At 36.4% G+C, this 17,218-nt stretch overlaps 1 long non-coding RNA gene and 2 pseudogenes across 1 annotated transcript in view; 2 read left to right on the top strand and 1 right to left on the bottom strand.

Annotated features, from left to right (window-relative positions):
- Positions 1–16,538, top strand: part of LOC124903278 (uncharacterized) — a 46,274-nt gene extending 29,736 nt beyond the window's left edge. The window contains exons 3-4 of the long non-coding RNA XR_007064055.1: positions 11,917–11,987; positions 16,002–16,538. This is a non-coding gene — a long non-coding RNA (uncharacterized LOC124903278). The remainder of the gene's footprint in view (positions 1–11,916; positions 11,988–16,001) is intronic.
- On the top strand, positions 10,354–11,000 carry LOC100421751 (ATPase Na+/K+ transporting subunit beta 3 pseudogene; annotated as a pseudogene).
- On the bottom strand, positions 12,355–13,287 carry OR4K4P (olfactory receptor family 4 subfamily K member 4 pseudogene; annotated as a pseudogene).
- Positions 16,539–17,218: the final 680 nt, after the last annotated feature.

The following is a 17,218-nucleotide window of genomic DNA, read 5'->3' as shown; positions in this document are numbered from 1 at the left end:
TTTTGTTCCCCCATTTCTAAAATAAAAGTGTCCTTGCTCAAGTTCATGTATTTATTACATAAAATGATTAACTCTACCTAACGAAAATGTTTATTGTATGAATGTAATGTATTAAGCTAAAAATTGAGGCAGATTTAAATATAGTGAATGATGAATCATAATTTTAAAATTTACAAATGAAGGGCAAAGAGAGCTTGCATTTGTTCAGACGCTGCTAGATAGCATCTACTGTGTATACATGTTTTATCAGGTGATCTTTACAACAGACCTTTGGAAAAGGGGTTACTAAACTGCAGAAGAGAAAAACAAAGATTAGACATGTTTACTAATCTGTGGTCAGACATCTAGTAAGGGTCAGAACATCTCAGTGGGGATTTGAAATCAGATAATAAAAATAATATTTAACATTTACTAAGCATCAAAGTGTTAGGCACTGTTCTGAGCTCTTAATGTATAGTAATTGAATCTTCCCATAACACTGCATGGTAAATGCACTTACTAATTCTATCTTACAATAAGAAGTCAGAGATACGGAGATGATAAGCAGTTTCCCTGAAGTTCCATAGCTGGAGAGCCATTAAACTAGAATCTGAACCCTGGTATTTGACTCCAAGGCCAGGTCTTGCCACATTACAACATCCTGTTTCAGATCTGAATATAAAACTCATGCCATTGACACTATGTTACAACTGGAAATTCCCTCAATATATGCTCATGATTCTAATCTTTTCACCTGCTATGAGGCATTCATTCATCAGTTGAGCCAGAGTTTCCCAACTTTGGCATTATTGACATTTGGGGTTGAATTACTTTGTTGAAACAGACTGTCATGTGACTACTGTAGGGTGTTCAGGAGCATCTCTGGCATTACCCATTAGATGCCAGCTACACTTTCCCCCCAGTTATGCCAACAAAAATGTCTCCAAACATTACAAAATGTCCACTTGAGGAGGTGAAAAATGACTCCCAGTTGAGAACCACTGTGCTACTGTGTTAAGTTGTCTTTGGCTTGCCTTTTTAGTCTCTCCCTGTTTCATTTAACTTTTCATTTAATCTTTTCATCTACTGACAGTTGCTCGGATTCACTCATCAAAGAAATAAGAAAAAGAACTCTCCTAAACTCTTCTATTATCTTTGATTGTTTTTTCTCTTAATTTTTCTTTTTTTTAAAAAAAGAAATTTTGTGTAGTAGTGTCTACATGTTTCTCTCCAAATCTTTTTTACTACTCAGACTTTTAACATGCTTAACTATGCCTTTTGCTGCCACAGTCAGGAAAACTACTTTATCAAATGTCCCCAAAGACCTGGTAATGATAGCTAATTCTTAAACAGAATGCCTCTTGGTTTTCCTTTCATAATTTTTAATGTTAGCTTCCTTTATCCATGCTACTGCCCCTTAAAAGTAGATTCCAAGAGGTCTTAGCCTCTGGCATTCCAATTTTTTTTCCTTTTCCCTCTGCATTTCTTGAACTCTTCTTTATCTCTTTATGTCCTTATTAATCTATTTCTGCTCCTTGTTATCTCCCTTTCTTCGGCATTCCATTCATCTCCTTGGCATCAGTCATTTCCTCTGTATTATGATCTCTAATTTTGCAGTACTGTTCCCCCCGCCGCCCCCACATTCCAATATTCCAATCTGTTTCTGACAGTTTTTGAATGTGACTATACATAGCCATCTCAAAGCTCAGCTCTCACAATTTCCCAACTCAACTCAACTCTTTTCCTTCAAACTTGTCTGAATTAACTGTAAGGGAAAACCTACCTTTCTCCTGGACCTCACTCTTCCACTTGAAACATCTTATCATTCCTTAAGCATATATATATATATATATATATACATATATATACACACACATATATATATACATATATATACACACACATATATATATACATATATATATACACACATATATATACACATATATATACACACATATATATACATATATATACACACATATATATACACATATATACACACATATATATACACATATATATATACACACATATATATATATAAAATTGAATGTCCTTAGCATGAGAGCCAAGAATATAGAACCTGCTTTTACCTATGCCATACACTGCTCTCTAGCAAAAAATAACAGACTACTCAACATTTATTAAGCTGATAAACAATTCCTTATCCATTTTTTCGTGTCCTTCACAGATGTCTATTCCAACACAAATGTTACCACCTCTAAAAGCCTTCCTAGAGGCTTAAGTTGAAATTTCTATGTCCTAATGTTTCTGTAGCACTTTGCTTGCATATGCGTTATATCTTCTCCCAAGGTATAGTGAATTATGTTGGCTTGGCATACATTTTGAATACAAATTCCACTTTCTCATACCAGAAGCCGAGCTCAGTTACCCTTGACACAGTTTCCAGTTCTACAGTACATTCAAATGGTTCAAGCTGTTGGCCAGAGATAAAAACTAGAGGCATCTCTCCCACCTGGCCAACTGGGCTCCCTGCTTTCCTGTAGCTTTCTTTAAATGGACCCTTCAGTCATTTTCTGGTGAACTTAAAGTAACCCATACCCTGTTCCCTCAGGTGTACTGCTAAATGCCAGGCTTTCTCACCATCCCTTTGCTTGACTCTTCATTCCTGTCCTACATGACACTGAGATGAAGGACTGCCCTCCCAACTTATTGCACTCTCCCTGCCTGATCGCTAAATAAAAATCATTGAACTTTTTTTCTATTGCAGTGATGTATTGAATTTGCATCACCCACCTGAAGAATCAGGGGCTGGCCCAGGCTGAGTTTTCCCTGGAATGCTTGGGAGAACACAAGATCAGGCTTCCAGCCTCCAGAGTGCTGGTCTGGTAGACATCAGCTAGACATAGGTCAGACAAAAGCTGCAGGGGCATCTGCCAGTATAAAATTTCCTGTGTGAGGAACTCCCTGGTCATGACAACTAGGCATTAAGCCTTTCACCAGGTAAAAGACATATCCCATAAAGACACACTGGAAACACCCAGAACAAGCTCATTTTCATTTCTCATTAGGACAGGATTGCTAGCCACTCTGGTATGGAACCCCAATTTAGCTGGGGACTCTCAAAACATAAGGTAAGACTCCCAGTGTGGAAGAGAAATATTATTATGATAGCTAACTCTATTATTTCTCTTCCACACTGAAACTTCTTGAATTATTGTGCTCCTTATGAATGATTCACAGGATTTGGTAGAGAGACATGCCAAAAGTACTTTGTCCATAAATGTGTTATAGTATTAATGGAAATATATTTCACCCTGTATTTGTCTTTCACTGAATAGTTTTACCTTCTTACTTTCCTGTGCATAGACTCCTTCCCAGTGAATGGCCTAGAACTCTGCAAACCATATACCACCTACATAAACTCCATCTTTACATGGAGCAAAAATATTTCATCTAATTGGTAATACAATGTCCTAATTAAGTAATAAAAACAAGTGCCAACAATCAACCAGCTAATGCAAAAAGAATGACATAACTGGTTTGAGTTGAAGCATAGAGAAAATAGTTTATCTGTTATATTGGAAGTAAACCATACTTTAGTTACCAACTTTTTAAAGTTATAGAAATAACGAGATGCTTTAAGAAGAATAAATTTGCATTTTATTGTGTAGGGTTAAATAAATCCTGTTATATACTTTAAGTGCAAATAAAAATAAATTATGGATTATACTATAACTACAGACCTATAACATGAGTTTTGTATTTAACATTCTCATAACTTTTTTGTGTAGTTTTACTCTACAAAGTAATATATAGCCTTGATTTGCATGCCTATTTAATTTCTTTAGGTAATAGGTAAGAGTGTCATGATGGATTTTCCTAGGTGCAGTCAGAGTTTTTCATAATTTTCCCAAGTGTCTCCCCAAGTATACTTCATCTCTGTACATAATTTCTCACAAGTTATCCCTAGCACGCTCAGACACAGACACATGAACATCCTAATCTTTTTTAAATTAATTATTTATTTTTTCCATAAGTTATCAGGGTACAGGTGGTTAGTACCTTTTTCTTTTGTCAAATTGTAAGAGTACCATGAATTTATCTAAGTGACCAATTGCAGCTTTTAAGATTTAGTATTAAATAGCCAAGGTTCATCTTCCAATGGAAATTAATATGTTTCACCAGATATTCTCATTCAAGCAAGGTAGATATGCGGCATTATTTCTGAGGGCTCTGTTCTGTTTCATTGGTCTATATCTCTGTTTTGGTACCAGTATCATGCTGTTTTGGTTACTGTAGGCTTGTAGTATAGTTTGAAGTCAGGTAGCGTGATGCCTCCAGCTTTGTTCTTTTGGCTTAGCATTGACTTGGCAATGTGGGCTCTTTTTTGGTTCCATGTGAACTTTAAAGTAGTTTTTTCCAATTCTGTGAAGAAAGTCATTGGTAGCTTGATGGGGATGACATTCAATCTATAAATCACCTTGGGCAGTATGGCCTTTTTCACGATATTGATTCTTCCTACCCATGAGCATGGAATGTTCTTCCATTTGTTTGTATCCTCTTTTATTTCATTGAGCAGTGGTTTGTAGTTCTCCTTGAAGAGGTCCTTCACATCCCTTGTAAGTTGGATTCCTAGGTAGTTTATTCTCTTTGAAGCAATTGTGAATGGGAGTTCACTCATGATTTGGCTCTCTGTTTGTCTGTTATTGGTGTATAAGAATGAATGCTTGTGATTTTTGTACATTGATTTTGTATCCTGAGATTTTGCTGAAGTTGCCTATCAACTTAAGGAGATTTTGGGCTGAGTTGATGGGGTTTTCTAGATATACAATCATGGCAAGCAGGGACAATTTGACTTCCTCTTTTCCTAATTGAATACCCTTTATTTCTTTCTCCTGCCTGATTACCCTTGCCAGAACTTCCAACACTATGTTGAATAGGAGTGGTTGAGAGAGGGCATCCCTGTCTTGTGCCAGTTTTCAAAGGGAATGCTTCCAGTTTTTGCCCATTCAGTATGATATTGGCTGTGGGTTTGTCATAGATAACTCTTATTATTTTGAGATACGTCCCATCAATACCTAATTTATTGAGAGTTTTTAGCATGAAGCGTTGTTGAATTTTGTCAAAGGCCTTTTCTGCATCTATTGAGATAATCATGTGGTTTTTGTCTTTGGTTCTGTTTATATGCTGGATTATGTTTATTTATTTGTGTATGCTGAACCAGCCTTGCATCCCAGGGAGGAAGCCCACTTGATCATGGTGGATAAGCTTTTTGATGTGCTGCTAGGTTCGGTTTGCCAGTATTTTATTGAGGATTTTTGCATCGATGTTCATCAGGGATATTGGTCTAAAATTCTCTTTTTTGGTTGTGTCTCTGCCCGGCTTTGGTATCAGGATGATCCTGGCCTCATAAAATGAGTTAGGGAGGATTCCCTCTTTTTCTATTGATTGGAATAGTTTCAGAAGGAATGGTACCAGCTTCTCCTTGTACCTCTGGTAGAATTTGGCTGTGAATCCATCGGGTCCTGGACTTTTATTGGTTGGTAATCTATTAATTATTGCCTCAATTTCAGAGCCTGTTATTGGTCTATTCAAAGAATCAGCTTCTTCCTGGTTTAGTCTTGGGAGGGTGTATGTGTTGAGGAATTTATCCATTTCTTCTAGATTTTCTAGTTTACTTGCATAGAGGTGTTTATAATATTCTCCGATGGTAGTTTGTATTTCTGTGGGATCGGTGGTGATATCCCCTTTAGCATTTTTTACTGCGTCTATTTGATTCTTCTCTCTTTTCTTCTTTATTAGTCTTGCTAGCAGACTATCAACTTTATTGATCTTTTCAAAAAACTAGCTCCTGGATTCATTGATTTTTTGAAGGATTTTTTGTGTCTCTATTTCCTTCAGTTCTGCTCTGATCTTAGTTATTTCTTGCCTTCTGCTAGCTTTTGAATGTGTTTGCTCTTGCTTCTCTAGTTCTTTTAATTGTGATGTTAGGGTGTCAATTTTAGATCTTTCCTGCTTTCTCTTGTGGGCATTTAGTGCTATAAATTTCCCTCTACACACTGCTTTGAATGTGTCCCAGAGATTCTGGTATGTTGTGTCTTTGTTCTTGTTGGTTTCAAAGAATATCTTTATTTCTGTCTTCATTTCATTATGTACCCAGTAGTCATTCAGTAGCAGGTTGTTCAGTTTCCATGTAGTTGAGCAGTTTTGAGTGAGTTTCTTAATCCTGAGTTCTAGTTTGATTGCACTGTGGTCTGAGAGACAGTTTGTTATAATTTCTGTTCTTTTACATTTGCTGAGGAGTGCTTTACTTCCAAGTATGTGGTCAATTTTGGAATAGGTGTGGTGTGGTGCTGAAAAGAAAGTATATTCTGTTGATAATTTGCCAGTCTGTGTCTTTTAATTGGAGCATTTAGCCCATTTACATTTAAGGTTACTATTATTATGTGTGAATTTGATCCTGTCATTATGATGTTAGCTGGTTATTTTGCTTGTTAGTTGATGCAGTTTCTTCCTAGCCTTGACGGTCTTTACAATGTGGCATGTTTTTGCAGTGCCTGGTACTGGTTTTTCCTTTCCATGTTTAGTGCTTCCTTCAGGAGCTCTTTTAGGGCAGGCCTGGTGGTGACAAAATCTCTCAGCATTTGCTTGTCTGTAAAGTATTTTATTTCTCCTTCACTTATGAAGCTTAGTTTGTCTGGATATGAAATTCTGGGTTGAAAATTATTTTCTTTAAGAATGTTGAATATTGGCCCTCACTCTCTTCTGGCTTGTAGAGTTTCTGCTGAGAGATCCGCTGTTAGTCTGATGGGCTTCCCTTTGTGGGTAACCCGAGCTTTCTCTCTGGCTGCCCTTAACATTTTTTCCTTCATTTCAACTTTGTTGAATCTGACAATTATGTGTCTTGGAGTTGCTCTTCTCGAGTAGTATCTTTGCGGTGTTCTCTGTATTTCCTGAATTTGAATATTGGCCCGTCTTGCTAGGTTGGGGAAGTTCTCCTGCATAATATCCTGCAGAGTGTTTTCCAACTTGGTTCCATTCTCCCCGTCACTTCCAGGTACACCAATCAGACGTAGATTTGGTCTTTTCCCATAGTCCCATATTTCTTGGAGGCTTTGTTTCTTTCTTTTTATTCTTTTTTCTCTAAACTTCTCTTCTCGCTTCATTTCATTCATTTGATCTTCAATCACTGATCCCTTTCTTCCAGTTGATTGAATCAGCTACTGAGGCTTGTGCATTCATCACATAGTTCTAGTGTCATGGTTTTCAGCTCCATCAGGTCCTTTAAGGACTTCTCTGCATTGGTTATTCCAGTTAGCCATTCATCTAGTTTTTTTCCAAGGTTTTTAACTTCTTTGCCATTGGTTCGAACTTCCTCCTTTAGCTCGGAGTAGTTTGATCGTCTGAAGCCTTCTTCTCTCAAGTCATCAAAGTCATTCTCCATCCAGCTTTGTTCCGTTGCTGGTGAGGAGCTGTGTTCCTTTGGAGGAGGAGAGGTGCTCTGATTTTTAGAATTTCCAGTTTTTCTTCTCTGTTTTTTCCTCATCTTTGTGGTTTTATCTACCTTTGGTCTTCTTTAAGTATTTCTCCCTTTAAAGTGAGAACAATATTTAGCTTTCTCAGAGAAAGGTGCTAGAAGCACATTGCAGGAGGAAGAATCCCTCTTACCAGTTCAGGCCTCCGCTGGGGTCAGCAACACAGGTGTGAGGAAAACGAATGGAGACAGCCCCAGCCACAGGCCTGAAACCTGATCTCTCTACAACCTCAAGGCAGTGGTCTTGTGATAACCTTTCAGGAGTCTTTTCACACAGAAACCGGGGTCCCCCCACAACTTGGAAGAGTTTCTACCCATACCAGCACCTTGATTTCCTTTGTGCATCCAGTCCACTGGTTTCTGATCACCTCCTCCCCAGCTTGCATAAGAGGTGGGCTATTAGTTGCCCAGTGGTTGGGAGACCAGCTCTGACCTAGCCAAATCAGTGAGCTTTTTTACTCACCAATGAGATGAACCATTCATTTCCCAATGAAACTTAACAACCTCTGTTAAGATTGTGGTTCCTTGGGTACTTTCTTTTTGCTATAGGGCACCACGTAGAGTTTCCTTATATCTTATAGTTACTTTTCCATTATAGTTCATTCTTTATACCAAACTATTTAATCTGTTGTATGGTTTCTGTCTCCTGACTGGACACAGACTGCTACATATTTCTACAAGCACTGAATGAAGTGAAGATTTTATTGAAATCTTTAATGATGGTCATGAAGTTTCTCTCTTGTTCCTTGTAATTTTGCACCTTATACATTTTGAGGCTGACGTTAGGATTGCACAAGTTTAGGAAGATAGTATAATCCTGGAAAACATTTCCTTTAGCAATATAGTCTCACTTAAATTATGTCTGATATGTTCAATATAATTAGTCATTAGGGAAATGTAAATTTAAAATACAATTAGTTGCAACTCCACACTTGTGAGGAAGCTAAAATTAAAATGACAAATAATAACAAGTTTAGCAAATATGTAGAGGAAGTGAAATTTTCATGGGAATATAGGAACATAAAATAATGTAAGCACTTAAAAAAGGGTCTCTCAGTTTCTTTTAAAAAGTTAAACGTACACCTACAATATGATGCAGACATTCCAATTTATTATTTGCCTAAAAATGGAAAAATAAAATATATAGCCATATAAAGACTTATATACAAATAAGCAACTATATTGGTAATAGGCAAAACAGAGGCACAATAAAAATGTCTATCAACAGTGAACGAATCAATAAACTGTAGTATTCCCATACAATGAACTACTTCTAAGCAATATAAAGGGAACATAATATTGATACATATATAAAAATGGATAAATTCAAATAAATATACTGAGTTAAAGAAGCCAGACCAAGGAAAAACAATAGAACAAGTAGTGGATTGGGGAGAGGTGGGAGAAAATTTTGGGGACCATGGATACATTCATTAGTTTGATTGTAGAGATAGTTTTATGGGCATACATCAAAACATCAAATTGTGCTCTGTAATACATTCAGCTTATTGCATATCAATTATACCTTAATAAAGCCATCTTAAAAAAACATGACTACCATGCGACTCAATCGTCTCATTCCTAGCTATCTACTCACAAGAAATGAAAACTTAGGTTCACACAAAACCTTATACAGAGACGTCTGTAGCAACTTCACTATTAATTTCCAAACCACCCATACATTCTTCATCAATAAATGGAATAAACGATGACTCTCAAAACAACATGGATAAATTTCACATGCCTTTTGCTAAAGTGCCAGCAGGAAACCAGATTCCAAAAAGCTACACACTGCAGGATTATATGAATATCTGAAAAAAAGCAAAACTACAGAGAAAAAAAGAAATCCATGGTTTCCAGAGGTGTAGGAGGTGGTAAGAAGTTGTCTATATGGGACTAGCACCAGGAAAGTTTGGGTGATGGAACTATTCTGTGTGGAACTGCAGTGGTGGACATATAACTCTATGCATTTCAAAACCCATATCAAAACCCATAGAAATATACAGAACTAAAAGTGAATTTTACCCTAAAATATGTTTAAGGATAATCACAAATATAGAAACAGCTTTACTCTTCTTCGACCTGGCAAAAGTACAAACGGTAATTAAAACAGTATTAACGCTGTAATAGAGAATGAAGTGTTAGGGCAATTGACAAAATATATTTTTTAAGCTTCATGAGAAACTAAGGTAACACAAAATAAAACAATGGTTTTATTTATATTTATTTTCTCATTAAATTAGCAGATTAAAATTTTATGCTCAATGATACAAATTCATTATTAGGCATTTTTAGTATTTAAGAAAATATTTATGATATGACACATAAAATACATGAGTATATTTACAATATGATATCCAAGCATCTGCAGTTGACTGAGTGTGTGCTGGAGAGATCAGGCATCCTTGGCCTGTTTCCCACTCTCAGCTGCTGTTGCCTGAGCAGGGCCATGGCCTCCACAATCCTTGAAACCTCCATCCCCTGGGTAACTGCCCATGAATTGCTGCTGCCACCAGTCATCTCATTTTCCCCACACCCACTATAACAAAGAAGGAGAAATTCTTCAACCCAAATCAGGCTGAGTGGAAGTTCCTTGACCTCCTGGCCAGTGAAGAACATTTGGGGCACATCACCAAGTGCCAGAGGGGCCCTGAGGTGCCATTTTCTTAGAATCGCCTGTTCCCATTCTGAGTCATGACTTAGTAAATGTTCTGGGAAGTGAGACTCTCCATCCCATAGTGATTGTCTATAGAAGAGAGGGCTATAGATGAATGTTAGTGACATGAGTGTTGGCGGCAGCAGCAGAGGCACACTGACCTGTCACCAAGCAGGAGACAGTACTTCATGGACCACTAGTGAGAGAGAGGAAAAGAGGTTTGCTCCTGCTCTTCTACCTAGTCTTCTGTGGGTTCCTAGCTGCACTCTTCTTGTTCACAATGTGGACTATGCTTCAGGTGCTGAAAGATAGGGTTCCAAAACAGCAGCTTCCTAGTTCAGGACTTAAAATTTCTCCAGAGTCAGTGATGGCATTAAAATATGTATTCAGTATGTCTGATTCAGCTTCCTAGAATAGGTACTTTGTAGATTTTAATAATTTTCTAAAGCTGTATTAGATGAAGAGAAGAATCTCACAATCCATCCTGATGAAGTACTTTTTGAAAGAAGGGACTAGTTTATAACGCGTGTAAATTTCCTGCTACCTTACTTTAAGCATGCAGTGGTATGGAGGATCCTGATATTTGTGGTTTCAAAGGAAACCATTTTATTCTTGTAAAAATTAGCAGAGTAATTAGATTAAATCCTCAAGTGGAACCAAGGTTAATGGGTTTAAAAAAACACAAGATAAGTCTGATAACCTCTCACCATGGATTTATAGACTGAAAATATTTAGCACATTATGGAAAAAAATATGCATGTGGAGTATCTATAGCAGTTCTAAGTAATCTTTGATCATAATGCTGATACCAGGCAAGAAGCAACACTACAATGGTTTGATGAATCACCCAACTTATAAAACCAATGTGTTTAAAAGCACAGTGAATGCATAACATGAATAGGGTAGCTCCACTGGATAAATGTTTTTTGTTTTTATTTTGTGTCAAAGGGACTGGACAGTATATAATAGAGTGAAATCACCTTGAAGGAAGTTGGGGTGTTACCTAACACTGGATGTCTTAGTTCATACTGGCTGTTATAACAAAATGCCACAAACTGAGTGGCTTATAAACAATAGGAATTCAGTTCTGGAGGCTAGGAAGTTCAAGATAAAGAAATTGGTAAATTAAGTGGCCTGTAAGTACCCACTACCTAGATCACAGACAGCAGTTGCTCTAACTTCACATGCCAAAAAGAAGGAGCTCTCTGAGGCCACTAATGACATTCATGAGAGCTCCATCCTAAATACCTAATCACTTCTCAAAGGTTTTACTTCCTGATACCATCAACTTGGTGGTAAGAATTTCAATATGTGAAAAGGACATAAAATGTTCAGACTATAGCACTACAGGGGGTGGGGGACATAAAGATTCAGCCCACAGCTCTGGGGCAGCATCATAATGTGCTTTTAGATTATAGTGTTTATTGTTCTGAAGGAACTGTTTTTGCTTCTTGTTCTATTTTGTATGTGGTTTTATTGCCAAGTGTCTAAAGCTTTATATGCTATGTTATGTAACTGTTGAATGGACTTAAAACTGGTTAACTGTCATATTTTGATGTTAACACAATTTTGGTGACAAAATGATAAGAATAAATGGTACCTTGGTAACATCAAGTGATTTTATATAGCTTCAAAAAAAATGTGATCTCTTACATCCCTCAAATTTTGTATGTGAGGAGGAAAAAACAAAATAAAAGTAGATTTGAAAAGTGTTATCTTAAATTTTTGTAAAATTAGTTTTTACATGCTTAATTAATCTATGGATCTTTTTAATACACAGCATGAACTTTTTGATGTACAATGAATGTATGAAGAAAAGAATGTTAATGGAATTAGTTTTTACTGCTAAAGGTAAATCTCACAAATTACTTAGAATATCTTAACCATAATTGAAACATAGCATTTTTAGTTTAGCAAGTATGAATATGCACCTAAATTTTTATCAAACAATTTCCTATCTTATCAAAATATTTTAAATTGTGCAATAGTTTGTGAAACACTCTGTCATTGATTTCAGTTAGCAAATATAAGCAAATTAACTACAAAACTATAGCAAGTATGATTGAAGAATGCATAATTGTGTATAGGCTTCTTTACAAGTATTTAACAAAGAGCACACATTTATAATTTCAAGCAAACAAATTAACTGTTAAAAACATTGATGGTGAGAAGAAAAAGGCAAAGTCTGTGTCTCAAGTTCCCACTTGTCTACTCAATTCAACAAATCTGGTCCTATGAGAGAGAGCTGGGAAGACAGCCTGGAAGTTACATACTGGGTCTTCAGGTTATGAATTGCTGATTTTACCTCTTTGTTTCTCAGTGTGTAGATAAGGGGGTTTAATATAGGTGTGAAAACTGTAGAGAATACAGACAAAAGGTTATCCACTGGTAAGTTGCTGAAAGGCCAGGCATAGATGAAGATACAAGGCCCAAAGAACAGGGTCACCACAGTCACGTGGGCAGTCAGAGTGCTGCGAGCCTTGGCCATACCTGCTGAGGAAGGTCGCTGCACAGTAATCAGAATGACCGTGTAGGAGATCAGCAAAAGCAAAATGAAGTCACCCCCATAAGACCACTGTCCAAAAGCATCAACGCTTCAGGGATATAAGTATCTGTACAGGCAAGTTTGATGACCAAAGTAAGGTCACAATAATAACTGTCCACTATGTTTGGGCCACAGAAGGGCAAACTTACAGTGAAAGCTAACTGGCTCAGGGAGTGCATAACTCCAGTGACCCAAGATCCTACCACTAGGCCTGTACATGTGCACAAGTTCATGATGGTTGCATAATGGAGAGGTTTGCATATGGCTACATATATGTCATATGCCATGGCTACAAGGAGCACCATCTCACCACCAGCAAAGACATGGAACAAGAATATCTGGGCCATGCAGCCCTCAAAGGAGATAGTCTTGGGTTCATGAAGGAAATCATGGATAATCTTAATCCATATTGTCTCTGAAGTTACGTTAATGGTTTGGGTTTGAGGTAAATTCCCTTGCAGTTAACATTTTACTATATGAGAATATGTAAACTGAAATGGTACACATGTCAGTACAGAATATTAGTAGATAAGGTGATGATAGCCGTAAAATGAAGATTTGAAAAATGCCAGAAATCCTCATAGAGAATGGCACCATATCCTCTACTGAATGCCACTTTTGTCTAGATGTCAGAGTGGGCTGGTTTGAACTGAGATGAGTATAGAATGATGTTAATATGCTTCTGTAGAGTCTTTTCTATTCAATATTTCAGAAAAAGACCCATAGAACCAAAAAAACCCTCAAATATTACAGAAATTGATCTTTAAGTCATTTTCTATCATACCCAAATTCAAATTTTATGCTCTGGACTAAAATTGATATAATTATTTTGTGGTTGAGTCAAAGGACTTTGCACAAAACTGTAAGTCCAAGAATCATAAGCCATTGCTCCAAGTTTCATTCTCTAGTTAAAGGTCTTACTTCCATTTTCCAAAAAAAAAATCTCAAGCAATTGGATCAAGCAAGTTGTCGACATAAATTTTTTTTTAAAAAAAGACTTACCTGATTCAATTATCTACAGATTTTGAGAAAGTTCAAACAAGTTTTGGCTTCTTTCAGATCAAATGTTCTTGAAGGGGACCTGCACCAAATGTGCACATACTTTAGAGTTAAGGTGTTATAACTATCATAAATATTGACTTAGGTAAACCTCCTCTTCTTGACACTCTATTTCACCCTTTTCCCATTTTATCATTTATCTATTTCATTTAGGACTTGGGATTGAACAGGAACCACGGGAGTATGAATGTGTCCCATGATGATTCCTTGCCATTAAATATTTGCTGGCTTGTTGAATAGGGAAAAGGGTTCAAGTCCAGACAGCCAAACCACTTTCAACTTTCTTTCAACTCCAGAGCTCTTTCCCTTGTCTTACTTATAACCAATTACACGCACTATGTTTCTAATAGATTTAGGAAGAGTTTTACATGGAGAGATTTCTGCGACACTATACGAAGAATTGAATTGAACTGAATCTTCAGTGATATTCCACACATCAGTGAGAAGAAACTCAGCAAAGAACAGCTGATGCACTGCAATACGAATGTTAAATGAATTCCTGTTTTAATTTTAAATGTTAAAAATTATTGATAGGATATCCCATAGAAACATATTTGTATTCTTAGCATACACTCCACTTAATTATGGTGTGTTATATGAGAATATTATAACTTTGGTTTGATGTGCTAATTATTTATTTAGGATTTTTCGTATAGGTTTACAATTATAGTAGTTTTAACTTGTTGGGCTATCCACTTCCTATTTTGGTAGTAAGACAATGATAGGCTCACAAAATTAGTGGGGTTGCTCAGAAAAGTGTTTCTATATCCTAGCATTATCTGTACTTTGATGGTTTGGGAAAGATTGTACATAAACATGAATGTAGCTTGCGAGTTTTTTTTAATTATTATTATTATACTTTAAGTTCTAGGGTACATGTGCACAACGTGCAAGTTTGTTACATATGTATACATGTGCCATGTTGGTGTGCTGCACCCATTAACTCATCATTTACATTAGGTATATCTCCTAATGCTATCCCTCCCCCCTCCCCCCACCTCACAACAGGCCTCCGTGTGTGATGTTCCCCTTCCTGTGTCCAAGTGTTCTCGTTCAATTCCCACCTATGAGTGGGAACATGTGATGTTTGGTTTTTTGTCCTTGCAATAGTTTGCTGAGAATAATGGTTTCCAGCTTCATCCATGTCCCTACAAAGGACATGAACTCATCCTTTATTATGGCTGCATAGTATTCCATGGTGTATATGTGCCACATTTTCTTAATCCAGTCTATCATTGATGGACATTTGGGTTGGTTCCAAGTCTTTGAGAGCTTGTGAGTTTTATAGGATGATACTTTTAGCTTCTTTTAATGTAATCCATGATGATTACAGCTTGAATTTTCTCCTCCTTAGAAAATTTGACAATGTATGATTTCTGAAAAAATTAAAAATTCATGTCAATGAATGTTGTCTTATGCTTTTACATTATTTAAGTTGTTTAGCTTCCTAAACATATAAATTTATGAACACTTTTCTGATCTATAATAATTAATTGTACAGTCTCTTTTTAACTTTAATTTTCATCAGTACTGATCTTTTCTTTTTTCTTATTCTTCTGTTATTTTTGCTTTTCCAAGAGCCATATTTTTGATTTCACAAGGAGCTGCACTAGATTATTTGTGTTTTTTTATTTCAAGAACTTATTTTTTAATTGACAAATAAAAATTCTATATATTTTTATTGTACAACATGATGTTTTGATATTTGTGTACAATGCATAATGGCTAAATCAAGCTATTTATCACGGGCATTACCTCACATACTTAGCATTTGTTTTCTATGATGAGTACCACTTAAAATCTACTTTCTTAGAAATTTTCAAATATGCAATATACTGTCATTAACGGTAGTCACTATGAAGTATAATGGATCTCTTAAATATAGTCCTCCTGTCTAGTTAAATTTTATGTTCTTTGACCAACATCTCCCCAATTGTCCCACCCCCCCATCCTCTGGTGACCACCATTTTACTTCGTTACTCTGAGTTCAAATTTTACAGTTCATATATAAGTGAAATCATGCAGTGTTTGTCATTTTGTGCCTACTTTATTTTACTTAACATAATGCCCTCCAGTTTCATCCATGTTTTTTCAAATGACAGTATTTTCTTCTTTTTTAAGGATGAATAGTATTTCATTGTATGTATATGAAGGGTCTTCAAAAGATTCATGTAAAATAAATATAAAATGACTATGGATGTATTTCAAATTTTTGCACCAAAATAAATTAATAATAACTTTTTTATAATATATCTGAACAGGATCTAGTTTGAGGCACTAAGAAGGATAAGACATCAATTTGAAAAGAAGTCCTATGAGAGCAACAAGAATTCTGCTAAAATTGAAGCAAAAATACACATCAAATTTATGATGAAGCTAAAATGGAAGAATGGTGAAATAATTGAAACTTTACTAAAAACTTATAGGTACAATGGCCCAAAGAAATCAAGTATTTGCAAATGGATAACTTGTTTCAAGAAGGAATTAGATGATGTTGAAGAAGACGCCCGCAATGGCAGACCATCCATATCAATTTGTGAGCAAAAAATTCATGTTGTTCAGCCCTAATTGAAGTGGACTGATTATTAACCGCACAAACAATAGTCAACACTGTAAGCATCTCAAGTGGTTCAGCTTACACAACTCCGACTGAAAAATTAAAGTTGAGCAATCATATTGCCCAATGGGTGTCAAAACCATTGTGCCCAGATCAGCTGCAGATGAGAGCAGAGCTTTCAATGGCAATTTTAAACAAGTATATATTAGTAGGTTATTGCATTACTGTAAAGCAATACCTGAGACTGGGTAATTAATTTTAAAAAGAAGTTTAATTGGCTCATGGTTCTGCAGGCTGTACAAACATAGCATAAGCATCTGCTCAGCTTCTAGTAAGAACTTCAGGAAGCTTACAACCACGGCAAAAGGTAAAGGGGAAGCAGGCACATCGCATTGTGAGAGCAGAAGCAAGGGGAGCAGGAAGATGCCACATGCTTTTGAACAACCAGTTCTCGTGGGAACCGACTCATTACCAAATGGATGGTGCTAAAGCCATGCATAAGGGACCCGCCCCCATGATCTAAACACCTCCCACCAAGCACCACCTCCGACACTGGGGATCACATTTCGACATGAGATCTGGGGGGGAAAAATATGTAAACCATATCATTCTACCCCTGGCCCTCCCAATCTCATGTCTTTTTCACATCACAAAATAATCATCTCTTACTAACAGTCCCCCAACGTCTTAACTCGTTCCAATATCAAATCCAAAGTCTTAAGTCTCATCTGAGACTCATCTCCTTTCACCTATGAGCCTCTAAAATCAAAAGAAGTTATTTACTCCCAAGCTCTAATAGTAGTACAAGCATTAGGTAAACATTACTATTCTGAAAGAGAAAAATTGGCTAAAAGAAAAGGATAATAGGTCCCATGCAAGTCTGAAAACCAGCAGGGCAGTCATTAAATATGAAAGCTCCAA

Source organism: Homo sapiens, chromosome 14 (genome assembly GCF_000001405.40).
Source record: "Homo sapiens chromosome 14, GRCh38.p14 Primary Assembly".
Classification (NCBI taxonomy): Eukaryota; Metazoa; Chordata; class Mammalia; order Primates; family Hominidae; genus Homo; species Homo sapiens.
The sequence above is the reverse complement of the archived record's forward strand: the minus strand, read 5'-3'. Positions and strand labels throughout refer to the sequence as shown.